Source organism: Homo sapiens, chromosome 6, assembly GCF_000001405.40.
Source record: "Homo sapiens chromosome 6, GRCh38.p14 Primary Assembly".
Taxonomy (NCBI): Eukaryota; Metazoa; Chordata; class Mammalia; order Primates; family Hominidae; genus Homo; species Homo sapiens.
Genome location: NC_000006.12, coordinates 97,122,822 through 97,137,638, shown reverse-complemented (window position 1 = coordinate 97,137,638; position 14,817 = coordinate 97,122,822). Strand labels below are relative to the sequence as shown.

At 37.0% G+C, this 14,817-nt stretch overlaps 1 protein-coding gene across 21 annotated transcripts in view; it reads right to left on the bottom strand.

The window, feature by feature from the left end:
- The window catches only part of KLHL32 (kelch like family member 32), a 242,671-nt gene that overhangs the window by 3,115 nt on the left and 224,739 nt on the right, over positions 1–14,817 (bottom strand). For 16 of the 21 annotated variants that reach the window (NR_136580.2, NR_104421.2, NR_136579.2 and 13 more), the window contains 3 exons: positions 10,177–10,235; positions 6,690–6,882; positions 4,892–4,986 (listed from right to left, as the gene is read on the bottom strand). Coding sequence is in view for 18 of the 21 variants with exons in the window: in NM_001323252.2 (NP_001310181.1) it covers positions 4,892–4,986; positions 6,690–6,882; positions 10,177–10,235 (347 nt within the window). In the remaining 3 variants the exon portion in view is untranslated. The remainder of the gene's footprint in view (positions 1–4,891; positions 4,987–6,689; positions 6,883–10,176; positions 10,236–14,817) is intronic. The other 5 variants (NM_001323253.2, NM_001323254.2, XM_047418150.1 and 2 more) reach the window with 1 other exon arrangement.

The following is a 14,817-nucleotide window of genomic DNA, read 5'->3' as shown; positions in this document are numbered from 1 at the left end:
GGCTTGAACCCAGGAGGCAGAGCTTGCAGTGAGCCAAGATCGCGCCACTGCACTCCAGCCTGGGCGACAGAGTGATACTCCGTCTGGGGGAAAAAAAAAGACTTTAACTTCAACAACGCATTATTTTACAGGAAATGGGCCCTTGAAATTTGGGGATCCATGTTTCACAAAGGAGGAAATTACTAAGAAGTCCTAGAATAAAAGAAAGAACAAACAAGTGGAGATTAGATGTCCCAATCTCTTTATTGAACAATATACCCTGTCACTACTAATTTAAAATAACTCACTCATATACTAAATACAAACGTTTTCTCTGTTCTCTTGTTAATTGATGTATTTTCTTTCAGTGTCACATTTACAGTTGTTTTGACTAGGTAAGGCAAGACTCCTCATTTATTTTCAAAATTTTCTTGATTATTCTTACTCATTTACTTTCCTAGAGAATCTTTCAAGATTAGTTTGACAAGTATCACTACTTCGCCCCATGAGAAAAGGGAAAACCCCGGTGGGGTTTTGGCTAGTATTTCATTAAATACAAAAAGTAAATCAGAGGTCATTTAGTATTTACCACAACTCTATAAGGTTAAGTATTGTCTTCAATTTACAGAGAAGAAAATTGATACCGGAAAAAATTAAGTGACTTTCTCAGGGTCACACGGCAAGTGGTGGAGCCAGTATTTGAGCTCAAGACGCAACCCAGAAAGAGCAAGGATTTTGTGCCCTCCCTCCTGACTGAAAACATTTTTAGAAGGCAAAATACTAATGAGATAATCATCCAGAGAGCTTTTGTCTGGTTTCCTGGGCCAACAGAGACTGCATATGTTAAGCAGATGTAATGTATTTAATCTGAGAAGGGAAAAGGAAGCATTGGCAGTTTTTCTCCAAAACACTCCCCTGTAAACTGGCTGAAAGAAGGCGTTTGGGAGAGTGTGGTGCCAAGCTGGCACTGTATCCTCCAGCCAAAAAAAATAATAGTAAATGAAGATAACAGTAGAGGTGATCTAGAAACACAGACTAATCACTTGCACACTTACGCAGCTGCTCCTTTATGTGCCACTTGTCATCCATGGCACACAAGATTAGAGTCAAACCTCTGTGACAGACATTAGTTTACACACCCACTAAATAAACAAGAACACCTTCACTTTCGTCAGTAATCTATTTCCATTATTTTCCATGAGTGTTTGTTTATTACTAACAAGTCCAAATCTCAACCTAAGAGTATCTCTGCTTTTCTCTTGTTTGGGTTGTCCTTCTGATGGATAAATAGTCTGTGCTAAATCAGAGTAGTAGCAGGAAATAAAGTATGCTTTTTCAACATTGGACATGCTTCATCCCACTGTGGTTGAATCCTACAAATCACAGTTAAATGAGCTTGGATTAGGGTCCAGAAGGGACAGTTAAGTGAGAAGTTATTGGCTGGTACTTTTGAGGGCAAAAAAAAATTAGTACTTCCAAATGTTAATAGAACAATCTCAGAACTATTTAAGTATGACTTCCATTAATCAGCCATGCTCTTGGATTAATGATTTGTGGATTAATCTTGGATCAAATATACAGATTTGTGACTGACGACACAAAAAATTTAAACCTTTATATTTTTAGTATGCATATGATTTTTTCCCCACTATGCTTCTGTACTTCTCAACCCACTGACATACTTAGGAATTTCCACTGTTAAGCATTTTCTCATAAATATTATTCCAGTCTCCCATCATCTTGCCTCTGTTGGATGTTCTTTAAGTAGTAAAGAAGTGGCCTACTTTTGAACATGTAGCTATTCTCTCCAACCATCAATTTAATTTATTACTGTTAGTGTATTGAAACCAATTGTTCTATCGTCATCCATAACATAAAAAAATGGAGCTTTAGTTCAGAATGAATGGTAATATAGCCTGTAACTAGCTGTCATTAACTAAAATGAAAGATACATGTCACTATCCATGAATACCTCTATTTCAAACATCTCTTTAAGTGATAATCCATATGCTTATAGGGATACTTATTACCTATTAATAGTAAAGGCTCTTAATAACAAATCGTCCAGATGCAGTGGCTCACGCCTGTAATCCCAGCACTTTGGGAGGCCGAGGTGGGCAGTTCAGGAGTTTGAGACCAGCCTGGCCAGCATGGTGAAACCCCGTGTCTACTAAAAAATACAAAAAATTAGCTGGGCATGGTGGCACATGCCTGAAATCCCAGTTACTCAGGAGGCTGAGGCAGGAGAATGACTTGAACCCAGGAGGCAGAAGTTGCAGTGAGCCAAGATCACGCCACTGCACTCCAGCCTGGGTGACAGAGCAAGACACTCTCAGGAAAAAAAAAAAAAAAAAAAAAAATTAACAAATTTGTCTGTGCTTTGTAGGACCAGTGTGCCAGCCAAAGGAATAAACGCAGTATTTGCCAAAGGATTGATTCTGTTCATCAGAATGGCTACTGGAACACAGAAATACCCATCATGCTGACTTTTATTTAAAAGCAAATATATTAGAATATATTATTGTACAATCTCAGAGGTGAAACTTATTCCACTAATACAGGTGTTGACTTAAAAAAATAATTGAATCCCCTTTGATAATCACCATAATCCTGAGGATACTCTCAAATATCCTCAGTGGTTTAAAATATGCATTTGTTTACCTCTTCATTTCTTGTGGATAGATTTGTTTGAAAACAGCCAAATGTCATTAGCAATTAATTAGTGTATATGATTAGTGATCATTTACAGAAAAATTCTTTGGTGACAAAAAACAAATGATGCGACTACGAAGTTTTTTTTATTTAAGTTTCTATGTCTTACAAACTAACATTCACGACTGTTAACAAAATATGAGATGTGGAAAAAATGTGCACTATGGCAGCACTCTGATCTCCTAAACTTGATACGTACAGCATTTTCTTTATTTCCTCATTATGTTATGATTTCCACTAATTTTCTATTCCTTGAGCTAATCTGATACTAAAACTAGTAGAAATATGCTCATAAATGTATTTAAAATTTACAATTTTATTTCATGATAAACCCAAACTTACTTCCATTGTGCAAGTGATCAAATGAAGGGTCCCAAAGCCATTTAAAAAACAGTGTTCCAGCACTATAGAGAACTGTTGCCCAGTTCTGAGTTCTACCAATTCTGAAAAGCAAAAAATAAAAAGAAACCTAAAAGACTATGAAGGACTACCAAATACATGCTTGGATGAAGACTAGAAGCACTCTTTGAGAGAAAAGTTTGTTCATTTGTTGTTATCCGAAAGACAGGACGAAGCTCTAGTCCAAGGCAGCTTTCCATTAACTAACTAAAACCAGTACAAGGCAGCCTTCAGTGAACTCCCTTAAAGTCTTATGTGGCTCTTCATGTGTGTGTGGCTTTGATAATTCTTTTCTCCTGTATTATTGTTTCCCAGTTTATTAATTTTCTCTCATCTTTATCATCTCTCCTCTTCTACTTTCTTTGAGATTACTTTTTGGTTCATTTTCTAACTTATGAAGCTATATCTCACAAGCTTTGCTGTATATTGTTTTTATTATCACAGTTCTGGGAATTTTTTTGAGTTCCATTATGATTTCTTCTTTAACCCATAAGTTATATAGCAATGTGTTTTATTATTTCCAGTTATGTAGGGGTTTTTTTTTGTTAAGTTCTAACTTAATTGCATTGTATTAGAGATACATAATACTAAACAATACTTAATTTTTTTAACTAAAGTTTTCTTAACCCTAACCCTAGTACATGACTGGTTTTTGTAAATGTTCCATGTATGCTAAGAAAAATACAGTCTTTCCAACTGCTCAGTCAGAACCCATATCCATTCAGACAAGCTTGTTAATTATATTTTCCATATCTACCTTACCCTTGCTGACTTTTTTAACTTCATCTATATGAATAATAGAAGTACTTTAAATTCCCCAGACAAACCTCTGTCAAGACAAATCAAGAGAAGAAGAGACAATATTATGAATGTAAAGGGAGATATAACTAAGGATAACACAACAACTATATGCTAGCAATTTTGAAAACTTAGACAACATGGAATTTTCTTCAAAATATATGTACTTTATGAGATGTGACTGAAAAAGAAATAAAAAGGTTGAACAGTTCTGCAACTATTAAAGATATTGATGCAGTTGTTAAAAATCTTCCCATAAAGATGCGATTAGATAATAAAAGTAGTTATAAGGATATACTTTTCTGGAGGTCAGGAAGAAAGGTCAGGGCTAATACATGTCAATATTTTATCAGAGAACATGTAAAAGAGAAAACTATGGTAATAACTGTAAAATAATAATAGGAATAATACTATGAATGTGTCTATCAATGAGGGCTATTGCTCTTCTGAAAGGCCCAGCTGGCAACTTGCCCAGCCTGGGCTGCTCATATGCTGATGCACCAGGGCTATTCTTTGGGACAGAGGCTGTCCCTATCAGACCAGTCATAAACCACTACTGCTCACAGCCTCTGCCGTGAAGGAAGAACACCCTTGTAGGTGGCATTTGTGGGAATGAATGAACTGTAATATAGAAAATAAGGCAATGGTGTGGAAAGGAAGTATTTGTAAAGCTTGGGGGATATGAAGGAACTATTGCCAAAGATTTTTAGAATTTTTTGGTTTATGAGAAAGGGAACGCTATCCCAGTTTCCCAGTTTCCAATATATATTACATATATTTTTCAAAATTCATCCTCATTTTTATTTTTAATAGGGCTCAATAATTTATTTAGGCATCATTTTTAGGATACAGGATGAAGTTTAGTGGCTGAACTAGTTGCACAAAAAACGGGACGTTAAGCCTCTTTCTAAACATAAATATCTCTTTCTTCAGTAGCAGCATTGCAAAATGTAACCTCGCTGAACCACTTGAACAAACTTCAAAAGGAACTTCTACCACTCACCTGGATACAAGCCAGAGGCTCATTTGTCCAAATTGAATATCCACCAACTAAATATATTCTCCCATTATGGACAGCAACTCCAGATTCATTTTGGCCTAAAGTAAAGAGAATTGAATAAAAAGAAAAAAAATCCATTTCTTACATATTTTAATTAACCCTTTTGCCACTGAGGGATACAATTTTCCTTTGTGGCACATTTGTATACTCCATGGGATTTTTGCAGCAACTAATCACTGCCTCCCAGTACTCAGAAAAATTAAGCACTATTTCTCAGAGAATGAATCTGTCAGGTCAGAACCAGGCCAAAACACTTATTAGCCAGCCAAGTTAGTAAGTACAGCATTAAATACAGCAATAGTAAGCCATGTAGAACTGAATTCTATGCTATGTCACATGCCATTAATTTACAGTGGTGGAAATAAGGTATATTATAGAAATGCAAACACCTCTTCTATACCCGCAAATGCTTTTTAGACAAGTGCTTACATTTGTAAAGTAACAGCTGCAACCCCAAGAAGCCAATAAAGCAGAGCCATGCCCCTAGCATGCCCCAAATGAAGACAAATGGCAGAAGAGATTGATCAACTTGCTACCCTACCTTTCTTTACATACCCAACATTTTAAAGATTATATTAAAGTTCCTGAGCTGGGACCAGCCTGGATAATCCCTAGATGCTGACACGCCAAAATGATGAAAGGTTTCCCCTCCCATTTCAAAAAGAAGACAGAATAACTCACTACCACATATTCTTCCCTGGAGGCCATCACAGAGTGAAAGAGTCTCTTTTTATTGATGGGCTGACACAGGATTGACTGGGGTAATAAATAAGCTGGATCTTACAGCAGGCAGAATCACAGATCCAGAATCGAGGGCCTAAGGTACCGCTAAAACTCAGAGAGTTTCTAAGTCCTTGTCCAGTGGGCCTCAAAAATCATTTTGCAAAAACAGGAGCTCAATACAAGCATCTAAACCTCTGATTAGATTCCCAGCGTTGCCTCCCCCAGCAGCAGCTGCAAGGGATTGAGTGCCCACTCAGCATATTAAAATGTCTTAACCCAACCTACCATTTTCAGTTTGTGATTTTTCCTATTATTTGAGCAGACATGGAAGGGATCTGATCACTTGTAGATGTTAACAATGCAAGCTGACAAGGGGGAAAAGTTATTCACTCCATAAAGAAACATGAGGGGTAAGTTGTTCACCGTGTTACTTTCATCCTTTTTTGGGATGAGGAAGGTCCATACCTAATGTTGCTCTGTGGTAAATGCTTGGATGGGTATTTGTGGCCAAAAATGCAGCTAAACTCCTGTGTACAGAACCACTTAAGGGTTTCATTTCTAGGAGAATACTCACAGAAACAATACTTGACAGTGACAAATAATGAAGACCATGCTCCTAAACTCCTGAACTCACAAGAAATAAGACTAAAAGCAGTGAGAAGTAAACAATAAATTCCTTCTGTAAAGAGTTATTAAATCCTTCAGTGTCTGGTTCCTCCTACTTGTATCAGAGTTCCATCTTAACACTGATGGATGATAATGGACTTGACATGCCTCTCAGCCATATGAGGATGTGCATAATGGTAGTAATATAGGCCCTGAGAAACTAGATGCTCAGCTACCTAAATGAGTCCAGTTCTGTTAGAACATAAATGATACACACCTTTCTGGTTAATAAATGCAGGTTCTTCTACAACTATGCACTTAATATTTAGTGATGCCCTAAAGATGTCTATGAAACAAGTTTGGTGACTTCTTGAATCTACTTTTCCTGATTTACTTAATCAAAGGTACTTGCCAGTCAGCAGGTTGAAATTACAACGTGTCCACTGGTCAGTGTCTATGTTGTAAGAATCTATATGGCGCACAAGGATCCGGTCATTATTGTAGTCTAGGTCATTGCCTCCAAGAACATAAAGCTTCCTTTGTACAGCAGCCATGGAATGGTAGACCCTTCTCTGCAGCATGGGGCTACGGCTTATCCACTTATTCTGAAAAAAGAAATTTAAGTGTATTCTGTTAGTAGGAGACCTCCATGTCAGAAAACAGCAACGAGTGCCTCATAAGTAGTGAGAACCCTAATGTTTATCAATCAATAGATCAACATTCTGTTTGAATGTTGTTTATATATATTGAAAGGTATGGGCTTCTTACATGAGAACAAGTACAAAAGAGCCACATATTCCAATTGTTTTTGCGATTTACACACGGCATCTCCTCTAGTTTGTGTTGCATTTTATAGTGCATTTTGAATTACATCAGGGGAACATTGAAATTTTCATGATGTTTATCTCACCCAATTCAGAGAATTTACTCATGCAAATTCATTAAGAGTGAAAGCACATGGCTAGGTATACTATATACAGTGGTGCAATGATTAAGAAAATAGTTTCTGGATCCAGACTACCTGGGTTTATAACTTGTATGTGATCTTGAGCAATTTACTTAATATCTCTGTGCCAGTTTTCTCATCTGTAAAATGGGGATAATAATGCCTACCTGATAAGCCTATTGTGAAGATTAAATGAGCTAATACACATAAAGCACTTAGAAAAATGCACATGAAAAATGTTCAATACATATTCATTTTTTCAAAATGATGTGATGATAATCATTGGGTACCTCAGGCCGCTAGATAAGCTAGGGTAATGGTTTTGCTGTTCTTTCCAAAATTAACCTCCTGAGATCAGTGGAAGAGCTAAGATTTGGTTCAGCAACAAACCACCCACATTTCCTTTTATCAGCCTCCTTTAATATATTAACAGTCACATCTTTTGCCAAATTGGGAAAGGTTATTTCTAGGCACACATTTATTTGTTTTGGTGGAAGACTAAGTTTTGTTTTGTTTTGTTTTGTTTTGTATTTGAGACAGAGTCTTGCTCTGTTGCCCAGGCTGGAGTGCAGTGACATGATCTCGGCTCACTGCAACCTCCGCCTCCCAGGTTCAAGTCGATTCTTCTGCCTCATCCTCCCGAGTAGCTGGGATTACAGGCAAGTGCCACCAAACCTGGCTGATTTTTGTATTTTTAGTGAAGACGGGGTTTCACCATGTTGGCCAGGCTGGTCACAAACTCCTGACCTCAGGTGATCCACCCACCTCGGCCTCCCAAAGTGCTGGGATTATAGGTGTGAACCACCGCACCCTGCTGGAAGACTTTTTTATATGATAACTTTAGGGAATAGTGAAACCTTCAATATTTGGTTCCTGTTCACCCTCAGTAATGGGAAGAGTATGCCCAACCTTTCTTAAAATAAGGCTCTCATTGTAAAATTAAATGAAGACCAAATATGACTTTAATTTTAAATCTCAACTAAGTAATGGACAGATAAGTAAAGAAAGTAATGGACAGGTAAATAACCCTAACAGTTTTCTTTCTACATAAACACTAAGCATACAGGAAGAACCCAGATTCCTTTTTGCCAAGAAAAATTTGGATTTCGGCCAGAAAAAAAGTCATACGATGTTTTGAATACATAGAATTTCACCATTTCACAAAACTGTAAGGGAAGAAGCAAGACACAACAACAATAAACATTTTGTATAAAAATTGGTCCACTCACTAATAGGCATATAGACTAGCTCTTTTAAAGATACACTCAAGAAAAGAAGTGATTTGTACAGCTTGAAAAGCTTGCATTTATCTGTTCCCCCATTTGAACATATAATAAGAATTTCCTTCCAATCAAATGTCTTCTTTAATAAAATAGTCAAGCCTGCCTTTCAGCTATTTTGCTAATATCTATAATACATTACACATGAATGTATTTAACTCAAAACTCTGAGGACGCTTTTCTTAGGTGTTTTCTATGAAACAACCCATTACAGTATTAGGAATCAATGTTTGCATTAGCAGTCCAGTCCCCTGCCACCAGACTATGGACGCCATCTGGTTTGCAAAGCCTGCCTGCATCCCCTGATTATATCTTTAGCTTCCTTCACTGCAGTGCCTGCCAGGTGAGCCACCAACCGCTGCAAAGGCAAAGAAACAGAGAGGCCTGGTGGGGTCATTCCTAATAAGCTAGCATGTGAATACTAATCAGTGGTGGGGAAGCAGAGGTCACCCCAGCCTGCCTGTTGGCAGGTAGCAATGTGCTCTGTGGCAGATGGCAGGCATTATCGACTCTCCACAAAGGCCTAGAAGAGAAATAAGCACCAGGGCTGAATGATAGAGTTATTGAGATTCTGAGCAAGATGCAAGCAGATGTGATGTTTGCCAGTACCCACCGTAAACAATATGCCAGCAGAATTTTTTAAAAGAGCATGTGTGTACAAACATGAAACAGAACTCATTTGAGAAATGTTAACACCTTCTTCCTCTTTAACCACATGTGCACCAAACTCAAGCAACTGCAATTAACGATCCCTCTTGAGACAGCTGACCCATGGACATTTGGTCTCTGAAATCTACAGCTTCTAATGACATCAGGAAACACACTTTGCAAAGAGAGAAATGCCTTCATTAAATACAGAATCAAGTAATTGCTAAAATAAAAAGATACCAAATACACTGAGTCCACTAGGGACATAGATTTGGTGGCCAGTCCCAACCCAGACTGCCAAAGCCAACCTGTTGTGTCATATCCCATTACATTCAGCTGATGAATATTAAGCCTACAAATCATTTTGGAATACCGTCATAATCAAAAATATTTACATTACCAAAATCATAGAAATGGCAAAATTCAGCAGGCAATTGCCAAGGTTCATCCATATTTTAGTATATGGAAAAGAGAATAAAAATATTTCTTTTGGGGGAAAATAGTAATTGGGTGTACATGAAATGTAGACAAAAGAAGGTACAGGCACCATCCATATGCATATTCAACCCCCAGCTGTTAGATGAAAACCCTTCAGATACTTCTCATCTCTCAGATTCTTCATATACTTCTACTTTAGACTTGTCCTAGATACTGTTTTAGGTCATTTGGGCTATATTAAGTTAATACTTGTTTTTTAGAATAAACCATAAGCATGATCCCCTCCTAGAATGGCAGCCCCTTCCAGAAGGACGTTACAACAGGACAATTCAAATCATTTCTATATTATGCAGAACTCTGAAAGGGTGATGTATTCTGTATAGCACAAAACTAGAGGAGCTGAAATGTTTTGAGTAACAAAACAAAAAAAGGAACCAAAAAGCAGTTTATTCAGATGCTTCCTTTTCTCTATATAAGCTAAAGATGCATATCTGTGTGTGTACACTTGGCATTCCAATTACTAATTACTCTGGAATCTTTTAAAATTCATTAATTAAGATAATGAGGTGTTCTTACATGATTCTTACCTGGTTAGGTTCATACACCATTAGCCTGTTCTGATATTGTGCCGTATTAGTTACTCCACCTGTAATGGATTAACATGTGTTAGAGCTTTTCATGAATAAAAAATAGGATATTCCAACATAAGAATGAGATACAATTAAAGGAGAATTAGCTACTGCTGAGGATCTGTTTGTATACCCTCATGGTGAGCCCATGACATAATTAAGAAGCTTATTGTTGAAGCAGTTTCATTTTCAAGAAACATTTCAGAAGCAATCCAGTTAAGAGCAAGCAACAAGTATGCTGACATTACCAAGAGGACCCCAATTCTGACAAGCTGTTCTGCATGGCCAGAATGAGGGGCAAAGTATTAGGGAGTGAGAGTGAACATAGTACACATAGACAAATCTCTACACAGTTTATGCCAGGGACATAGTTATATGGAAAATTCTTGTCCTTCACTAAATTGTCAATTTTAAAGCTCTAACATCCGTACTCTAACACAGTGATATCTTGATATCTCTTGATATTACTTATCAAAAAATATCTAAAGCCAGTGCTGTCCAATAGAATATAACAAGAGCCACATATGCAAGCCACATATGCAATGATAAATTTTCCAGTAGCCACATAAAAAGTAAAAAGAAACAGTGAAATTAAATTTAATAAATTTTATATACCCCAGTATAGCCACAATTATCATTTCAACATGAAATCAACATAAAAATTATTAAGATATTTTATATATTTCATATTCTTTTTTTCATACTAAGTCTTCAAAAGCCAGTGTATATTTGACACAACGCATCTCAGTACAGATTAGCCATGCTTCAAGGATTCAATAAGTCACATGGGGCTAATGGCTACCATACTGAGCAGCACAAATCTAGGGCTCTTCAGTGCAATTGCTATTGTGGTGTACTCTTTTGAAGCCCTCTTGACAACTGCTTAGATCTAAGAGACCTGAGACCCACCTAATCAAGAACCACTAAAAAATCATCACACTTCCAGCTAAGTTTCTCTTATTTGTCCTCATACTTCTTTTCATACTTGTAGTGTATACTGAGCCCTGTAAAACCCAGAAATTATTCATTTTGCTTTAAGTTTTACCATTAAGTGGAAAAACTCTAAAAAAAAAAAACATAAAACAGCATAGTAAGAAAATATCACCAATAGATATTAAATGTTAGATAATAAAATATCAAGGATATGGGACCAAAGAAATCTATCTTTAGAAATATTGCCTTACATGTAGTTCTAGACACTGGTGTAAAATGAATAATATTCTTATTTTAATCAGTATCACAAAGAAGCAGCTAATTTTTCAATAAAGATATAAAATTAAGCCCGACTAAAAAAAGTTTCCTACTAGAATTTTTTGAATTTAAAAAACAAACACTGTTAAAATGCTGACCAAGAGGGCCTTAACATTCCCCCAGCTTAACTAAACTAAATAGGTTGCTTCCTGACTCTAGGCCCCTTGACCTCCCTTTTCTTAGATTACTTACTTTAGAAAACTTGTAATCATAACTTCTTTCTCTCCCTCTTTGAGATGTAAATCATTTTAAAAGCTGCTTGCCAGTTTTATAACCCAATAATATCTTCCTTAAAGTCCAGAGAGCCATCCCTTTGAAATGTAATCATCAAGGAAGATAGTGCTCTATATCCCAGCCTCTATGGGAATGTAGGACGGTAACTTTTTCTTTTTTGAGACAGAGTCTCGCTTTTGTTGCCCAGGCTGGAGTGCAATGGTGCAACCTCGGCTCACTGCAACCTCAGTCTCCCAAGGACCCTAACTGTGATAGACACCAATTTGCACCAAACACAGATGGCCTAATCACAGAGACCAAAATTGTCAACTCAGAAATAACTGCATGGGTACAACACATCCATTAATCAAGCTCCTCTGAAATGTTCTTCAGTACTTTTCTACTAAATCACCCCAGTGCTTAAAAACCATCCTCTTAAAAACTTTGCTTAATAGAATTGATTTCAGACTGTATTCTGATCTCTCTCTCCTATTGCTATAGTCTTGAATAAAGTCTTCTTTCTCTGTTTAACCTTATCTGGTGCAGTTTTTGCTTTGACAGTTCAAATACTTTGAATAGGTCACCACCATCAACTACATGGCTAGGAGTCAAGTCAACAAGAATCCAGAGGATTAGTGTCTAATCCTTAACTGAGCTGGAATAATCAATCAAAACTAATGGATACATAAAGGGGAAGGAACCTATCCAGGCCAATCATTACTCTCTCACTCAACCCCAGGAGGGAGATTATATCTTTCATATAATTGGCTTTGGCTATTATTAACTAGAGGACTATTTTTAAAATTATCTCAGAAGCTTGAAGATTTAAGATTTTAAAGAACAACAAAAGCTTTGTCTGCAGAGAAATCCACAAAGAACACAGACATGAGCCTCCTGCCCTCAAAGAAAGTCTTCTCTGGATTTCTCATTGAATATCTCATTTTAAAAATGAAATCAGAGGAAAGGAAAACACACTTAAGAAAGCTGAGGCTGAAATGCCTATATAGTCAAGATGTGTGTCAAAATAAATATAGGGTTGTGTTTGCTTTTACTCCCAACCTTCCCTTTCTTGTGTGATTAAAAACAGAATGTTCAATAATTCTTTCTCAGCATAACCACACAAGAATAATTTAATCTCTTGAGACTTCACAAGTCTTCAGGGTTAAAATAATTGCTAGTGCTTTTGATCTGAGCCATAACCACCAGATTAACGTCCAGCTTGCCTACAATCACTTCTCTAACTGAAATGGAACCGAGGGCAAAGCTCCACCCATCATTTAAAGACTTCAAAAGTTTCTCTACTTGTTTTAGAAATATGGGACATAATTAATATCTACTGTAGTAAACTATCTGTTTTATGACACTATTTGAAAATACTTACACTACTGTATGTATCAGACTCTGCCCATTATAGATTAAACATACAACCAATGGATTAGAATGTAGCTATTACATCCCCTCTCCCAAGCAGGGCATACAATTTATCTCTATGCTTTTCAGAATTATTATTTACTGTCTTCCACAAATGCATCTATAATACATTTTCTTCTTAATCTGCACTCAGTAATTAGATTCTTTACCCTTACATACAAATTTTCACTCAAATGACAATGTTTAGAAATGAGATATTAAGTTACTAGTTGGGAGTAAAAATTAAAGTCCCAGTTATTTGATATTAATAGATTCCCTCTAGAATGTTAAACCACAGGAGGTGCCTAACAAACCTAGTGCTGCAACTTTTGCCAAGTCAGGATTGCAAAGAAAAACCTTGGAAACTGGTTCTCTTGCCTTCCCCTTTGAAATAATTTACAAATGAGCATATAAATAAAAATCATTTTTCTCTCAATACTAAGATACATTTTAAAAAAGCATCCCAGTTTGCAGCCCACATTTCTTTAGCAGTGTTACTCATTTGCAGGGCTTTATCATTACATTCCCTTCACATAACACTCTTCGCTTTTAGATTAATCTGCTGAAATGAGATGCTAAGGATTTGCATACAGATTTGACTATACAAAAATAGATATGGAATTAATAACAGTCTCTATATGTTTTAATTTCTCCTAGACTGGAGTACCCTTGCCTGCAGCAGTATTCCTGGCTTTGAAAGTCATCAAGCTGATTTGTCTGCTCTGGGTTACGATGCCACATGCTGCTATACTGTCCCCTGCAATCAAAGCACTTGCAAAGATAGATTCCATGCCTTCCTCTATCGAGTATATTTTATAGATTGGCAGTTTTGATCTCCCTCCCCCACCCCAGGGAGGATAATCTGCATCTTAACAGCTTTCTATAGATACATCTGTCATTAAATATGCCATCTCATATCAGCATCCATTTTTAAAACCAAGTTTTCTCTAACTTTGAAGTGCCACAGTGAAAGTAAAGACTTTTCAGCCAAAATTGAAAATGAGCAACCCTGTCTTATACTTTTGAACTGTGACTTAAAGATATACTGCAAGGTCCCCCAAAGTCAAATAAGTCTTTAAAAACTGCCAGAAGGAATGAAAAGTTACCACCATGCTACCAACAGTGAGAAATGCTTTCTATCATCAAGACAGGAGAAAAGCATTTTTCTTAAGCTTCCCTGTACAACTCGCCACAAAATGTTGTGACAAATGGATGAGTGCATACTGGAGAGATGACAAGTGACTGCCAAACAAGCAACCTTTGTCTCTGCTACTGAGATCACTGACTCTCAAACTCATATTCTACTCAAAAGCAACAACTGGTCAATGCCGGCAGTGCTCATAAAATAGAGTGTGTAGAAAAACTGCTCTCATTGTACATGGTCAGACTGGGTCAAGTCTGATGGCTCTGCTAATTTTTTTTTTAACGACAAAAAATACCTCTGTTGGTAAATAGAGTAAACTCCAGGAGTAGATGTCTATGGGTCGTAATGCAGTGCTAACGCACTACCAGGACAGAGTGGGATGCAAAGAACTGATCCCCACACGCAGGGTGGAGGAGCATGCTCCAGGTTGGAATTCTGCCAGCAAATTCAGGATTGAGGAAAACCATCTCAAGTTCTCTGCAACTGTCTTGGAGACCTGCAGTGGCCAGGTTCACACTAGTCTAAGGGAAGAGTTTCAGGACAGGCTGTGGCATTAACATGGGTCCTACATGACTATATCC